The sequence below is a fragment of the Homo sapiens genome, chromosome 10, assembly GCF_000001405.40.
Source record: "Homo sapiens chromosome 10, GRCh38.p14 Primary Assembly".
Classification (NCBI taxonomy): Eukaryota; Metazoa; Chordata; class Mammalia; order Primates; family Hominidae; genus Homo; species Homo sapiens.
The window spans coordinates 21,391,113-21,405,440 of NC_000010.11; the positions used below are offsets into that span (position 1 = coordinate 21,391,113).

A 14,328-nucleotide genomic window follows, 5' to 3' on the forward strand; every position below is an offset into this window, starting at 1 on the left:
CCCTGGAGACAGAGGTTGCAGTGAGCCAAGATCACGCCACTGCACTCCACCTTGGGCAACAGGGTGAGACTCCGTCTTAAAAGAAAAATAAAAAAGGCATATTTTGATGTGGCATATGCTGATCCTCTTCAGATATAATCTATTAGAACACAAACACAAATAGCAATAGTACAGAAGAGGACATGCTAAATGAAATGCCACAAAACTATGATTAAAATGCAACAAAGTTTCAGAGAAGAGGTCAATCCGTGGGTGAAGTGATCACAGAAGCCTGAATCAGAGCACAGGCAGGTGAGATGCATCTTAGGGTTTCAGCAGGCAGAGCAGGAAGAGCAGTCTAGTAGGCTGAAACGTTTTTTCTAATGGGCATGGTGGGAGGAGGGTATAGAATCTATCTATAGCATGTTACATATCTAGTCTGGCTAAAAAACATGGAATACTTCAAAAATTTGCATGCCATCCTTAAATAAGGTCTCAGCTCCCTTCTCTGAAATTTTGCTACAGGTGAAGGATGAACAACAGACACATTATCATTAAATCAATAACTAGTTTTTGTGGGCCAGGCACAGTGGTTCACACCTGTAATCCCAGTACTTTGGGAGGCTGAGGTGGGTGGATCACTTGAGCTCAAGAGTTCAAGACCAGCCCGGGCAATATGGCAAAACCCTGTCTGTACAAAAAAATACAAAAATTAGCCGAGCATGGTGGCAGGCACCTGTGGTCCCAGCTACTCGAGAGGCTGAGGTGGGAGAATCACTTAAGCCCGGGAGATCGAGGTTGCAGTGAGCCGAGATCACTCCACTACACTCCAGCCTGGACAATAGAGTGATACTCTGTCTAAAAAAAAAAAAAAAAAAAAAAACTAGTTTTTGCTAGGACTAGGAACTGTTTTGATCTTTGGAAACAAAGAACAGGCCAGCCCTTAATAGTATGTGAGTCCTTGTTACATGATAAAAATTCCATACCACAAAAATTGATTGCCCCAGTCATACTGGTCTAGTTGAAGCTGTAAATGGACCCCTTCTTAGTCAAGGAGACTCCATAGAAGCCTTAGAAGCTGGGTTACTGGCCATGACTGGGTGAGAGATCTAACATGCTTTATTATACTCCTTCCTTTTTGGAGCTTAGATGCAACAACTACCCAGCATTAATGTTAAAATAGAGATCTTAAGACTAACAGAATAGACTCTTTGTGGCCAATAAGATACCAAATTATAAACAGAACTTAAGGCAATGAAAGGCAAGGGTGAAGTCTCATCTGCAGTCCATCAATCTTGCTAAACAGGTCATTTTTTATTTTTTTGAGACCGAGTCTCACTCCATCATCCAGGCTGGAGTGCAGTGGCGCAATCTCAGCTCACTGCAGTCTCCACCTCCCAGGCCCAATCAATTCTTCCACCTCAGCCTCCCAAGTGCTGTGACTACAAGTGTACACCACAACACCTGGCTAGTTTTTGCATTTCTTTGCAGAGGTGGGGTTTTGTCATGTTGCCCAGGCTGGTCTCAACTCCTGAGCTCAAACAATTCACCTTCCTTGGCCACCTAAAGTGCTGGGATTACAGGCATGAGCCACCGTGCCTGGCCCTAAACAGGTCATTTTTGACCCAGGATATTGTGGCTGATTCTGACACAGCACCCTCATCTTAAGCATTTCTTTCTGCCAGCTCCAAGTTTTAGGCAGAGCCTTATTCCTTTAACTAATTGCAAATTAAATAATCTCTGGGCCAGGCACAGTGGCTCATGCCTGTAATCCTTGCACTTTGGGAGGCTGAGGGGGTTGGATCGCTTGAGGTCAGGAGTTTGAGACCAGCCTGGACAACATGGCAAAACACCATCTCTACAAAAAAATACAAAAAATCAGACAGCTATGGTGGCACGTGACTGTAATCCCAGCTTCTGAGGAGGCTCAGGCAGGAGGATTGCTTGAGCAAGGGAGGCGGAGGTTACAGTGAGCCGTGATGGCGCCACTGCACTCCAGCCTGGGTGACAGAGTGAGACCCTATCTCAAAAAAAAAAAAAAAAAGAAGAAGAAGAAGAAGAATCTCTGAATTCGCCTATAACCTCTAAGACCCCTCCTTCAAGATATCCTGTCTTTTGGGGCTCAACCAATGTATGCCTTTCATGTATTGATGTATGGCTTTGCCTGTAACTCCTACATCTCTGAAATGTGTAAACCAAACTGTAATTCAGTTGTCCCAGGACCACATACTCAAGGCTTCTTGGGTTGTGTCTTCCCCAGGCCACAGTCACTCCTATTGGTTCACAATAAACCTCTTTAAAATATTTAAGAGTCTGGTTTTTCTGTTAACAGAGCCAAGTGAAACAGAGCAAAGTAAAAATTATAACAGTGAGAAAATTATGGCCGGATGTGGTGGCTCACGCCTGTAATCCTAGCATTTTGGGAGGCTGAGACGGGCAGATCACCAGGTCAGGAGATCGAGACCATCCTGGCTAACACGGTGAAACCCCGTCTCTATTAAAAATACGAAAAATTAGCCGGGCATGGTGGCGGGTGCCTGTAGTCCCAGCTACTCGGGAGGCTGAGGCAGGAGAATGGCGTGAACCCGGGAGGCGGAGCTTGCAGTGAGCCGAGATCGCGCCACTGCACTCCAGCCTGGGTGACAGAGCGAGACTCTGTCTCAAAAAAATTAAAAAAAAGAAAAGAAAATTATGACAGTGAAAGAGACCTGACTTGACCAACCCCAAGCTATCCCTGTTCATTTCTGGTCGTAGGCCAAACTAACTTTGGGAGGAATTTAGTTTAGAGTTTAACTTTGAAACTAAGGCGATAACTGACCTTTCCTGAAACAAATCCGCTTCTTGCCTGGGGACCAGACTCCTTTTGTGAGACTAAAAAATTAGCCACAAGATTATAAATTATGGTTTAGTTTAAGAGCCAAGCAGCCGGGTCTCAGGGAAGATGGTGACGCTGGTGAAACCCGCGCAGTTTGTTGTGCCACCGTTGCTGCAGGTGGTCCAGACTTGGAACCTTGACACAAGGCCCAGGGTCTGGGCGCTGCGGCGGAGCCCAGTGAAAGTGGCGTTTCCTTCCGGAGAGGTGGGGGAACGGAAGCGCGCTCCCGGGAAGCAGCCCGGCAAGGCAGCATCTGAGGCCAGTGCCCATGAGCTACGAGAGACACAGCCGCTTGAGGTGTCCCCATCCCACACTCCCAGCACCTGGGAAGAGTCTGGACTTCGCTACAATAACGTTTTTCCCGGGGACAGGAGGCTGAGCGGTGTAATGACAATAGTAAAGTCCAGGCCATTTCAGGAAAAACAAGGGTAGATACTGCTGGAAGGTCGCAGGCTCATTGCAGAAGCTCTCAAGGCTGGAGCTGTGCCAAACATTTCTTCTTTAGCCGTCTAGAATACCTAAAGGGGCTGCCAGTCGATAAGCTGAAAAGTGTCAGCCTCATTAAGGTGAAATTTGGGGAGATCAAGGATTGGTCCGACCTAGTAACACCACAAGGAATAATGGGTCAGTGATTACATGGTGTGTCTTAAGGTGTGGAGACCTAGGATTAATTGCTCATACTTGTCTTAGGACAGCAGATTTCATTGAAATGAAATTCAAAATGTTACAATTAGAAAAATATAATTATCAAAGCTGTGTATCTTACAGCATTTTAAATGGAAATTGAAACCCGTTTTTCACTATCATTTGGATTATGGCTCCTTATAGTCTCTAGGAAGAACCACTATTCCTCGAACCTTATATTTTTTAGATTACTTCTTCAACTTTTTATGTCAGATTAAAAATTAAGAAAATGTTTACTAAAAGATTTAGCCCTTCATTTTTGCAAAACCTCTGCCCATGTGGTGATAACTGTCAATAAACTCCTTATTCTAGAAGCAGATCTAAGAAGTGAGGTACAAGCCACAATTTATTGCCCTGTTTAGCCCAATAAACAAAGAACCTTGTCTTCTAAAAAAAAAAAAAAAAAAAAAAAAAAAAAAAAAAAGAGTCGTCCAGCCACAAGATTCCGAACCTCCCCAATTGCTCCTAGGGATAACATCACTATTGCAAAACCTAAGATTGGTGCTTAAGGTGTTTTCTAGGCCCTGCATTCTCATGCACCAACTGGCACTACCCAGACCAGTAATCTGGCTCAACCAGTTCTCCAATGCCACCTAGGAACACAAGGCAGCAAGAAGAACCCACTTCAAACCCCTATGATTTTTATCTCCAAACCAACCAATTAGCACTCCCCACTCCCTGGTCCCCTCCCTGCCAAATTATCCTTAAAAACCACAGTCTCCAAATTTTCAGGGAGACTGATTTGAGTAATAAAACTCCAGTCTTCCACTTAACCAGCTCTGTGTGAATTAAACTCTTTCTCTATTGCAATTCCCCTGTCTTAATACATTGGCTCTATCTGGGAAACAGGCAAGGAACCTGTTGGGCAACTATAAAAGTTCTCAACTAGAAGGCTCTGACACTCAAGGAGTTGGTCTCTAACACTTTTTCTTTTTTTTTTTTTTTTTTTTTGAAACGGAGTCTCGTTCTGTCGCCCAGGCTGGAGTGCAGTGGCGCGACCTCGGCTCACTGCAACCTCCGCCTCCCGGGTTCACGCCATTCTCCCGCCTCAGCCTCCCCAGCAGCTGGGACTACAGGCGCCCACCACCACCCTAGGGGAATTTTTTTGTATTTTTAGTAGAGACGGAGATTCACCGTGTTAGCCAGGATGGTCTCGATCTCCTGACCTCGTGATCTGCCCGCCTCGCCCTCCCAAAGTGCTAGGATTACAGGCGTGAGCCACCATGCCCGGCCAGGTCTCTAGCACTTTTTCTAAATATTTCCCTATTTAAAAAATAAATGAGGCTGGGCGCAGTGGCTTATGCCTGTAATCCCAGCACTTTGGGAGGCCCAGACGGGCGGATCACCAGGTCAGGAGATCGAGACCATCCTGGCTAAAATGGTGAAACCCCGTCTCTACTATCTCTACTAAAAATACAAAAAATTAGCCAGGCATGGCGGCGTGCACCTGTAGTCCCAGCCACTCAGGAGGCTGAGGCAGGAGAATGGCGTGAACCCGGGAGGCGGAGGTTGCAGTGAGCCAAGATCGTGCCACTGCACTCCAGCCTGGGTGACAGAGCGAGACTCCCTCTCAAAAAAAAAAAAAAAAAAAAAAAAAAGTAAAAATAGAAAAATAAATGAGAGAAGAGCCTAACTTTACTAACTAACTGTAACTTTACTCTCATCTTGCTTATTTGCATTTCAACAAGCTGTCTTGGTGTCTGAGAAAGGCAGGAAATCTCAGCTTTGGCAAAAAATTACATATAATGGGCAGCATACTTTTTTTTTTTTTTTTTTGAGATGGAGTCTTGCTCTTGTCGCCCAGGCTGGAGTGCAATGGCACAATTTCGGCTCACTGCAACCTCTGCCTCCTGGGTTCAAGCGATTCTCCTGCCTCAGCCTCCCGAGCAGCTGGGATGACAGGCACCCACCACCATGCCGGGCTAATTTTTGTATTTTTAGTAGAGACGGGGTTTCACCATGTTGGCCAGGCTGGTCTCGGACTCCTGACCTCATGATCCGCCGGCCTTGGCCTCCCAAAGCGTTGGGATTACAGGTGTGAGCCACCGCTCCTGGCCAGGCAGCGTATCTTCTATCTATAGCAGGAAGTTATCCCAAGGGTGCACATCGTTTTTATATGTGTCACTGTCTCAAAAGCTTATATGCACGTGGCTTTCACCTCTACACAAAATAGGAGTTTTTATGTTTCCAAGCACATAGTAGATATGAAGGAAGCTTTTTGAGCTCCTATAAGAAAAAGGCACCATGCAATTTAAAAGATATTAGTACTAAGATAGAACAGAGACTCCTGTTAGTGGCCTGCAGGCCTCCACAAGCATGGAAAGAAAGAAAATCTTGAATTCCTTCAAGGGAAATTCCAGGTGCCTAGCCAGCCCTGAGAAATAAATAAACAACTTGATAAGCAAGAAGAAGGGAATAGTAACTTAAAGCAACAGCCAAGGAAGCTAGAATCATGGGATGTCTGCTTCCCTATGGAAACTAAAGATAACATCTTTTTTTGTTTGTTTTTTTTTGAGATGGAGTCTCCCTCTGTTGCCCAGGCTGGAGTGCAGTGGACCATCTCAACTCACTGCAGCCTCTGCCTCCTAGGTTCAAGCTATTCTCCTGCCTCAGCCACCCGTGTAGCTGGGATTAGAGGCATGCACCACCACACCAAGCTAATTTTTGTATTTTTAGTACAGACGGGGTTTTGCCATGTTGCCCAGGCTGGTCTCAAACTCCTGGCCTCAAGTGATCCACCTGCCTCAGCCTCCCAAAGTGTTGGGATTACAGGCGTGAGCCACTGAGCCCAGCCACCCCTGCCTTAAAAAACCCTTACCTGCAAGGTCAGGATTTAAGCATAAGCTGCCTGATCCTCCTTGCTTGGTAACCTGCAGATAAACACCTTCTTTCTTCCCACTGCAAACGTCGGTGTGGATATCTGGTCTTATCGTGTCAGGCAAGCAGACCCCATCTAGCTTCAATAACAGTACTGATGATCATCTCAGGTGGCCTTTTACAAATACATACCTGGCATCCTAATTTTTCAGAAAGATTTGAGGAGTCTTTTTGGAGAGTAGAGGGGTATAGGGTGTGTATTTGTATGTGTGCAATTTTCATTTCAACTGCATGGATTCACACAACATAAAACACGGGCATGAAAAGGACCCCAGTGAATGTTACAGACACCAGCACCTGCCACACGGTCTTGGGACACATGGAAATAATTCATGAAAATAATCAAGCAGGCCAGGCACGGTGGCTCACGCCTGTAATCCCAGCAGTTTGGGAGGCCGAAGCGGGCAGATCACCTGAGGACAGGAGTTTGAGACCAGCCTGACCAACATGATGAAACCCAATCTCTACTAAAAAATACAAAAATTAGCCAGGCATGGTGGCAGGCACCTGTAATCCCAGCTACTAGGGAGGCTGAAGCAGGAGAATTGCTTGAACCTGGGAGGCAGAGGTTGCAGTGAGCCGAGATCGCACCATTGCACTCCAGCCTGGGCAACAGAGCAAGACTCTGTCTCAAAAAAAAAAAAGAAGAAGAGAAAATAATCAAGCGGTTTCACCCCTTGTATCTGTTCAGTAGACCCTCCCTCTCTTTAAAATTATACTGGATGTGGCCAGGTGTGATGGCTAACGCCTGTAATCCCAGCACTTTGGGCAGCCGAGGCAGGTGGATTGCTTGAGGCCAGGAGTTTGAGACCAGCCTGGCCAACATGGTGAAACCCCATCTCTACCAAAAATACAAAAAATTAGTCTTGCGTGGTGGTGGGCGTCTGTAATCTCAGCTACTCAGGAGGACAAAGCAGGAGAATTGCTTGAACCTGGGACGTGGAGGTTACCATGAGCTGAGATCATGCCATTGCACTCCAGCCTGGACAACAAGAGCGAAACTTCATCTAAAAAAAAAAAAAAAAAACCCAATAACTTATGGAAAATAAAATTTAAAAAAATAGAAAAATAAAAAAATAAAGATTGTACTGGATGTAACTAGGACAAGTGATCTCTTTCATCCTACCTCACCAAAGAAGGCCCCTTAGCTGCATAAACTTGTTTAATGAATGAATCACCAAGATGATTAATCAAGGGATAGGAATGACAGTGGTTCCAAATGTGCCTCTATTTTTTGATAGCATGAGAATATCCCTGGCTAAGTAAAAGGGTAGTTGTAACTACTGTTGTAAATCACACTGACTTTTAGCAGGTTGTTTAAAGCAGGATGGAAAGTTCAGCCAGTCCAAGCACCAGGCTAGTCCTCTATTCCACACCTCATAAAATGAACCTAAGGTACCTTTGTAAGAAAGCAGCATAGACCATACAATGCCAGAGTCCCTGGGGAAGAGAGAAAATGTGAAAAGCAAACTATAGGCTTTAAAAAATGCAAATCCAGCTTATGTTTGGATTCAACTATTTTAAAATATGTCCTCTTAGCCCACTAGCCACTCCACTTGGAAGGAGACGTAATTTATGTCTAAGGAGTGGCAGAATTCATTCAGAATCATCATCTTCTAATTCAGCCTCGTGGCTCTAAAAATTGCCTCTGGGTACTTGCCTAAAATAACTTTTAGAGTCTGTACTCCAATAAAGAGTCCTTTGCTGAAACTTGGATCAAATGCTCATTTATTACCCTTACCTCTTTATCAATTAAAAAACATGTTATAAAAGCACATTCTTTATAAGAGGAAAGACATAGAAGTTATTCTCTTTGCTATGCTCACAGTACAATTTTTCCAAAATGAAAGGAAACATGTGTCCAGGGTGGGGAAAATGTGCTGGTGTCATGCGGCGGCTCTATGAAATATTACTACCTGATCAGAATCAGACAGAAACCAATGGGTAGGGGGTAACAACTTCCCTTTGCAAGCATCAGCTCTGTATGCGGTGGAGGTAAAAGTGATTAAGAGACTGAGCCAAGAACTAGAAAATCATATTTTTATTCAATGTTTAAAACTCAACTTTCTCTAGGTACAAGGAATCTCCATCTGTTTTAGAATTGGGATGATCACAAAGGTGCTGGCTGAAATGGTTTATTCCTAAAGCTCCTCTTCTTGAAAAAATATTTATTTAACAGATCAAAGCCTGTGAGCCCATCATCAGCTTTCCATTCTTCTCAGCACACAGCTATTGTGGACCCAGCCGGCTTCCAAATATAGGCATGGAGACATATGATGTCACAGTCTGGCATGCAAAGCTCCCCAACCCCACACATGCATGCACTCATAAAGAATGCAAACGTCTCTTAAAACCGTGCACTTAAACATGTTTTGTAAGGTTCTGTGGTTGCATCCCCAGAGATGGAAGTCAAGGAAAACCTGTTCTGCAGATGGAAAAAAGAGGTTATAGCAGAGAGGTCTACTCTCCTTAATCAGTAGTTTCTGGTCTCTAAAAGCAATGAGCCAGCCAAAGAACAAATGAAAAAAGAAATCTATTGACTAGAAACCCCTTTAAAAGAGGTCTTGGCTGGGTGCAGTGGCTCATGCCTGTAATCCCAGCACTTTGGGAGGCTGAGGCAGGCGGATCACGAGGTCAGGAGATCGAGACCATCCTGGCCAACATGGTGTAACCCCGTCTGTACTGAAAATACAAAAATTAGCTGGGTGTGGTGGTGCGTTCCTGTAATCCCAGCTACTCAGGAGGCTGAGACAGGAGAATAGCTTGAACCAGGGAGTCGGAGGTTGCAGTGAGCAGAGATCGTGCCACTGCACTCCAGCCTGACAACAGAGCAAGACTACATCTAAAAAAAAAAAAAAAAAAAAAAGAGAGAGAGATCTTATATTAAATCTCTGATCCATCTAAAACAGCAACATTCTGTTGTGTTAGACTCAGCATAGCTTTGTCCTTCAAGGGGAGACAGTCCATCAGTAAACACATAATTCTGAGTGACACCTATGTGCCTCTTGCTACAACTAGGGTTGAGGGCTAGATGTCAGAGAAGTTGAGGTTTCTATATGTAGAAAGTCTGCAGTCTAGCTTGGAAGGTGCCTTAGCCCATTCAGGCTGCCACAACAAAATACCATAGACAGGATAATTTATAAACAACAGACATGTATTTACTTATTTATCCACTTATTTTTATTTTTACTTTTATTTTTATTTTTGAGACAGTCTCACTCTGTCACCCAGGCTGGAGTGCAGTGGCGCAATCTCGGCTCACTACAACCTCCACCTCCCGGGTTCAAGCGATTCTCCTGCCTCAGCCTCCTGATTAGATGGGATTACAGGCATCTGCCACAATACCTGGCTAATTTTTGTATTTTTAGTAGAGACAGGGGTTTCACCATGTTGGCCAGGCTGGTCTTGAACTCCTGACCTCAAGTGATTCTTCCACCTCGGCCTCCCAAAGTGCTGGAATTACAGGAGTGAGCCACGGCACCTGGCCTAGTTATTTATTTATTTAGAGACAAAGAGTCTCACTCTGTCACCCAGGTTAGGGGGCAGTGGCATAATCACAGCTCACTGCAGCCTCAAACTCCCAGGTGCCAATGACCCTCCTCATCCTCCCAAGTAGCTGGGATCACAGTCACGTGCTACCACACTCAGCTAACTTCTTAATTTTTGTTGTGATGGGGGTCTTATCATATTGCCCAGGCTGATCTCAAACTTCTAGGCTCAAGTAATCCTTCCACTTTGGCCTCCCAAAGTGCTGGGATTGCAGGTGTGAGTCACTGAGCCTGGCCTATTTCTTCTTCTTCTTCTCCTTTTTTTATTTTGAGATGGGGTTTCACTCTGTTGCCCAGAGTGGAATAGAGTGGTTGAGTCACAGCTCACTGCAGCCTTGAACTCCTGGGCTCATGTAATCCTCCCACCTCAGCCTACTGGGTTGCTGGGACTATAGATATGCACCACTACACTTGGCTAATTTTTTACTTTTTTGTAGAGAAAGTTCTCGCTATGTGGCCCAAGTGGGCCTCAAATTCCTGGGGTCAAGTGATCCTCCTACCCCCACCTCCCGAAGTGCTGGGACTACAGGTGTGAGCCACTGCGACTGGCCCAGAGATTTATTTCTCATGGTTCTGGAGGTGGGGGAGTCCCAGACTGAGGTGCTGGCAGATTCAGTGTCTGGCGAGAGCCCTCTTCCTGGCTCATAGACAGAGCCTTCTCACTGTGTCCTCACATAGGGGAAGGGGCCAGCAAGCTCTCCAGGGTCTCTTTTATAAGGGCACTCATACCATTCATGAGGGCCCCACTCCCATGACCTAATCACCTCCCAAAGGCACCACCTCCTAATATCCTAATACTATCACCTTGGGGGTTAGTATTTCAATATATGAGTTTCGAGGAGACAGAAACATTCAGACCATAACAGGAAGCATAAGGAATATGTGAAATAATTAACAAACGATGCCATATAATATATAATAAAATGTAGAACTGCGAACCAGGCGTGGTGGCTCCTGTCTGTAATCCCAGCACTTTGGAAGGCTGAGACAAGTGGATCACTTGAGCCCAGGAGTTCGAGGCTGCATGCAGTGAGTTATGATGGCAACACTGCACTCTAGCCTGGGTGACAGAACAAGATACTGTCTCTAAAAAAAAAAAAAAAAAAAAAGAGTGTAAATGTGAGCATCACAAGTGTTGCAGATTCCACTGGGGTGTGTTGCAGGTTGGGTTCCTCAGGAAGCCGACTCTGGGGAGGAGATCGGAGCACAGGAATTTACCAGGGAGGGCTCTCAGGGCCAACGCCTGTTGGGAAAATGAAGGACTCAGGACCGGCCAGATGGAGCTGAGCGGCCTGCTGTGGCAAGCTCTGAAGCTGGGATGTCCCTTTAAAACTGTCCCACGCTGGGCCTATAGACAGCTCCACACATTCCTGCCACTCATTGAATGCCCAAGCAGGAGCGTGACATGGGACAAAAGTGACTCCTTGGGCAGAGGCCATTCCCAGGCCACCGCTGAACACTGATGGCTCCCACCCGGCCAACAGCACACCCAGCAGCTGGGGATATAAGTTCTCCATCCTTGAAGGAGAAATCTGGGCAGCACGGCACAGCATCTGCAGGAGAATGGCTCCACACCACAATCTCCCCACTCTGGGAAAGGCCCTCCATGGCCCCAGCCCCCACACCCACCTCTCCCTGCCTGCATCCAGAGAGGTGCCTCATTTCTAGAGGCAATCACCTGACTCAAGCTTAAACATTCCAGTTTTCTCCTGGGACTTGAAACTTGGCATGGATACAGAAAGTAGCAGTTATTGAAGCAGACTTGGTGCCCTGAAGAGAAAGTCTAAATGTTTCTGCAGCTGAAATCCCTGGAGGTTCTCTCTTGCCGCCAACTGGAAGCCAGGGTTCTGGTTCTCCCTTCAGTTCTGTGAGGAGCCGCGGGGCCTTCCCAGGAAATATGTGTTTTGGCCCATATCCCAGAACTGGATTTTATGGGTTGCAAAAAAGACTACCCTAATTAATAAACAAGGATTACAAGGAGGACTAAAGAATCTATTATGATGTGACTTTCATATGTGTCATGTCTAGGACTCCTTCAACACTCTCAGTCCCATGAAGGCAAGGACCAGCCTGCCTTATTTACTCTGAGGTTCTCACTAAGCATGGTGATTGACATAGCATAAGCATCTAGCAAATTTGTTCAGTGTTGGTACTCAGAAACCAAATACCCCAAAATACATCACATTGACATACTGAAAAAGAAGTCTCAAGTTCTCTCTGGCCTCCCCCAACCACCACGACCATCTCTTCCAAAGAGTTAAAAGTTCCTTTATCTGCCTAAGATCCAGGCCCATCAAGAAGAACAATTGTTTTTTCTTCCGCTCCCTGTAAGACCAAGAATGTAACCACACCTGAACCACCCTATCACTGTCAAAGAGAAGTATTTACAAGTTAATCTCTGTTCCCAGATCCATTTATTCTCCCTAGTAATCCCCTCAAAGAATTCCACTTCTACCCTCTTCCATAATCTGTTTTATCCCTGAAACAGCCTGGTTGTCTGGAGTAACACCCCAAGTTCCTTGTCCCATGGCCACAGAGAACAAGGACGCAGACACACAAAGAGTAAGGTTGAGATTGAAAGCATAGTAAGCGAAAGAAAGAGAATAGCTCTTTGCTACAGAGGGGGGTTCCCAGAAAATGCTGGATCTGCAGTGAAATGCAGGGGGGTGTATTGATGAGCTGGTGAGGAGGTGACGTCTGATTTACATAGGGTGCAAAAAACTGGTTAGACTGGGTGTGCCATTTGCATAGGGCACGAATTTCTGGTAGCCCCGCCCTAATCTTTTATTATGCAGGCAGGTCCTCTGCCTGAGCTGCACCATGTTGCCCATTCATTTACTGTACATGTGGTAACCAAAAAAAGGGAAGATGGAACCTCCGTGCTGGACATGCCTGGCCCCCAGGTAGCCCTTTTCTATTGGCACAGTTGCTGGCATTCCCCTGTGCAAGCTTGCAGCTTCCTTGTTCATGTTTGCAGCTCAATTTCTTAGGCTGCTCTTTGTTAGAAATGATTTTGGGGGCTGCTTTTTGTTGTAAGGGACACTCTGCTGAGGACTCTGTTGCCCTCACTATCTGCCTTAATAATTTATTTCTACCTCCAGGATCCAAACCCCCTTTCTTTCTGTAGCCCTAAGATGGTATATAAACTTTTGTACCTCACTATTGGGTTGAGTCTTCATTCTGAACGCTCCCGTGTATACACATTAAATAAATTTGTACGCCTTTTCTCCCATTACTCAATCTCCCCCAGGTCAGTGATTTTTTTTCAGCGAACCTTTAGGGAGTGCCACAGACCTTGGCCCTCACATCAGTGAATGAATGAATGGATGAGAGCAGAGGGCCTCAGCATAGATTGGGATTATAAAAAGGCTCCATGAAGGAGATGGAACTGGATCTGGCATTACATGTGTTGATTTTAAATAGTCAAAATCTGTAACTTAAAGAGGTTTATTCTGAGCCAGATATGAATTATTATAACCTGGGGCCCAGTCCCAAGAGGTTCTAAGAACATGTGCCCAAGGTGGTGGGGTTATAGCTTGGTTTTATATATTTTAGGGAGACAGAAGTTACAGGCAAAAACGTAAATCAATACATGGAAAGTACACATTGGTTTGGCCCAGGAAGGCAGGTCATTTGAAGGGGAAATGCTTACAGGTCATGGTTGGATTCAAAGACTTTCTGACTGGCCATTGGTTGAAAGAGTTAAGTGTTGCCTAAAGAGTTGAAGTCAGAAGGCCAGGTGCGGTGGCTCACGCCTGTAATCCCAGTACTTTGGGAGATCACAAGGTCAGGAGTTTGAGACCAGCCTGGCCAACATGGTGAAACCCCATCTCTACTAAAGATACAAAAAATTAGCCGGGCATGGTGGTGCACGCCTGCAATCCAAGCTACTCAGGAGGCTGAGGCAGGAGAATCGCTTGAACCCAGGAGGCGGAGGTTGCAGTGAGCCAAGACTGTGCCATTGCACTCCAGCCTGGGTGACAGGGTGAGACTCCATCTCAGAAAAAAAAGAGTTGAAGTCAGAAAGAAATGCTTAAGTTAAGATAAGAGAGGTTGTGGAAGCCAAGGTTCTTGTTACGTACACGAAACCTCTAAGTAGCAGGCTTCAGAGAGAATAGATGGTAAATGTCTGCTTTTGGATCTTAAAAGGTGTCAGAGTCTCAGTTAAATCTCCCTTCAATCAGGAAAAGACCTAGTAAGGAAAGGAGATTCTCTACAGAATGTGAATTTACCCCCACAAGAGATGGCTTTGCAGAGCCATTCCAAAATATGTCAAAGAAATATACTTTTGAGCCAGGCGAGGTGGCTCACGCCTGTAATCCCAGCACTTTGGGAGGCTGAGGCAGGTGGATCACTTGAGGTCAG

General features: G+C 45.5%; 2 pseudogenes, besides 1 other annotated feature; one reads left to right on the top strand and one right to left on the bottom strand.

Annotated features, from left to right (window-relative positions):
* On the top strand, positions 2,901–3,479 carry MRM3P1 (MRM3 pseudogene 1; annotated as a pseudogene).
* Positions 2,904–3,416, bottom strand: LOC100420467 (glyoxalase domain containing 4 pseudogene; annotated as a pseudogene).
* Positions 11,974–12,513: an enhancer, noted in NCBI's record as "NANOG-H3K27ac hESC enhancer chr10:21692015-21692554 (GRCh37/hg19 assembly coordinates)". NCBI's record gives its function as "activates a minimal SCP1, AML or CMV promoter by ChIP-STARR-seq in primed H9 embryonic stem cells {active_cell/tissue: H9 hESC(primed)}" and the evidence as "EXISTENCE:reporter gene assay evidence [ECO:0000049][PMID:30033119]".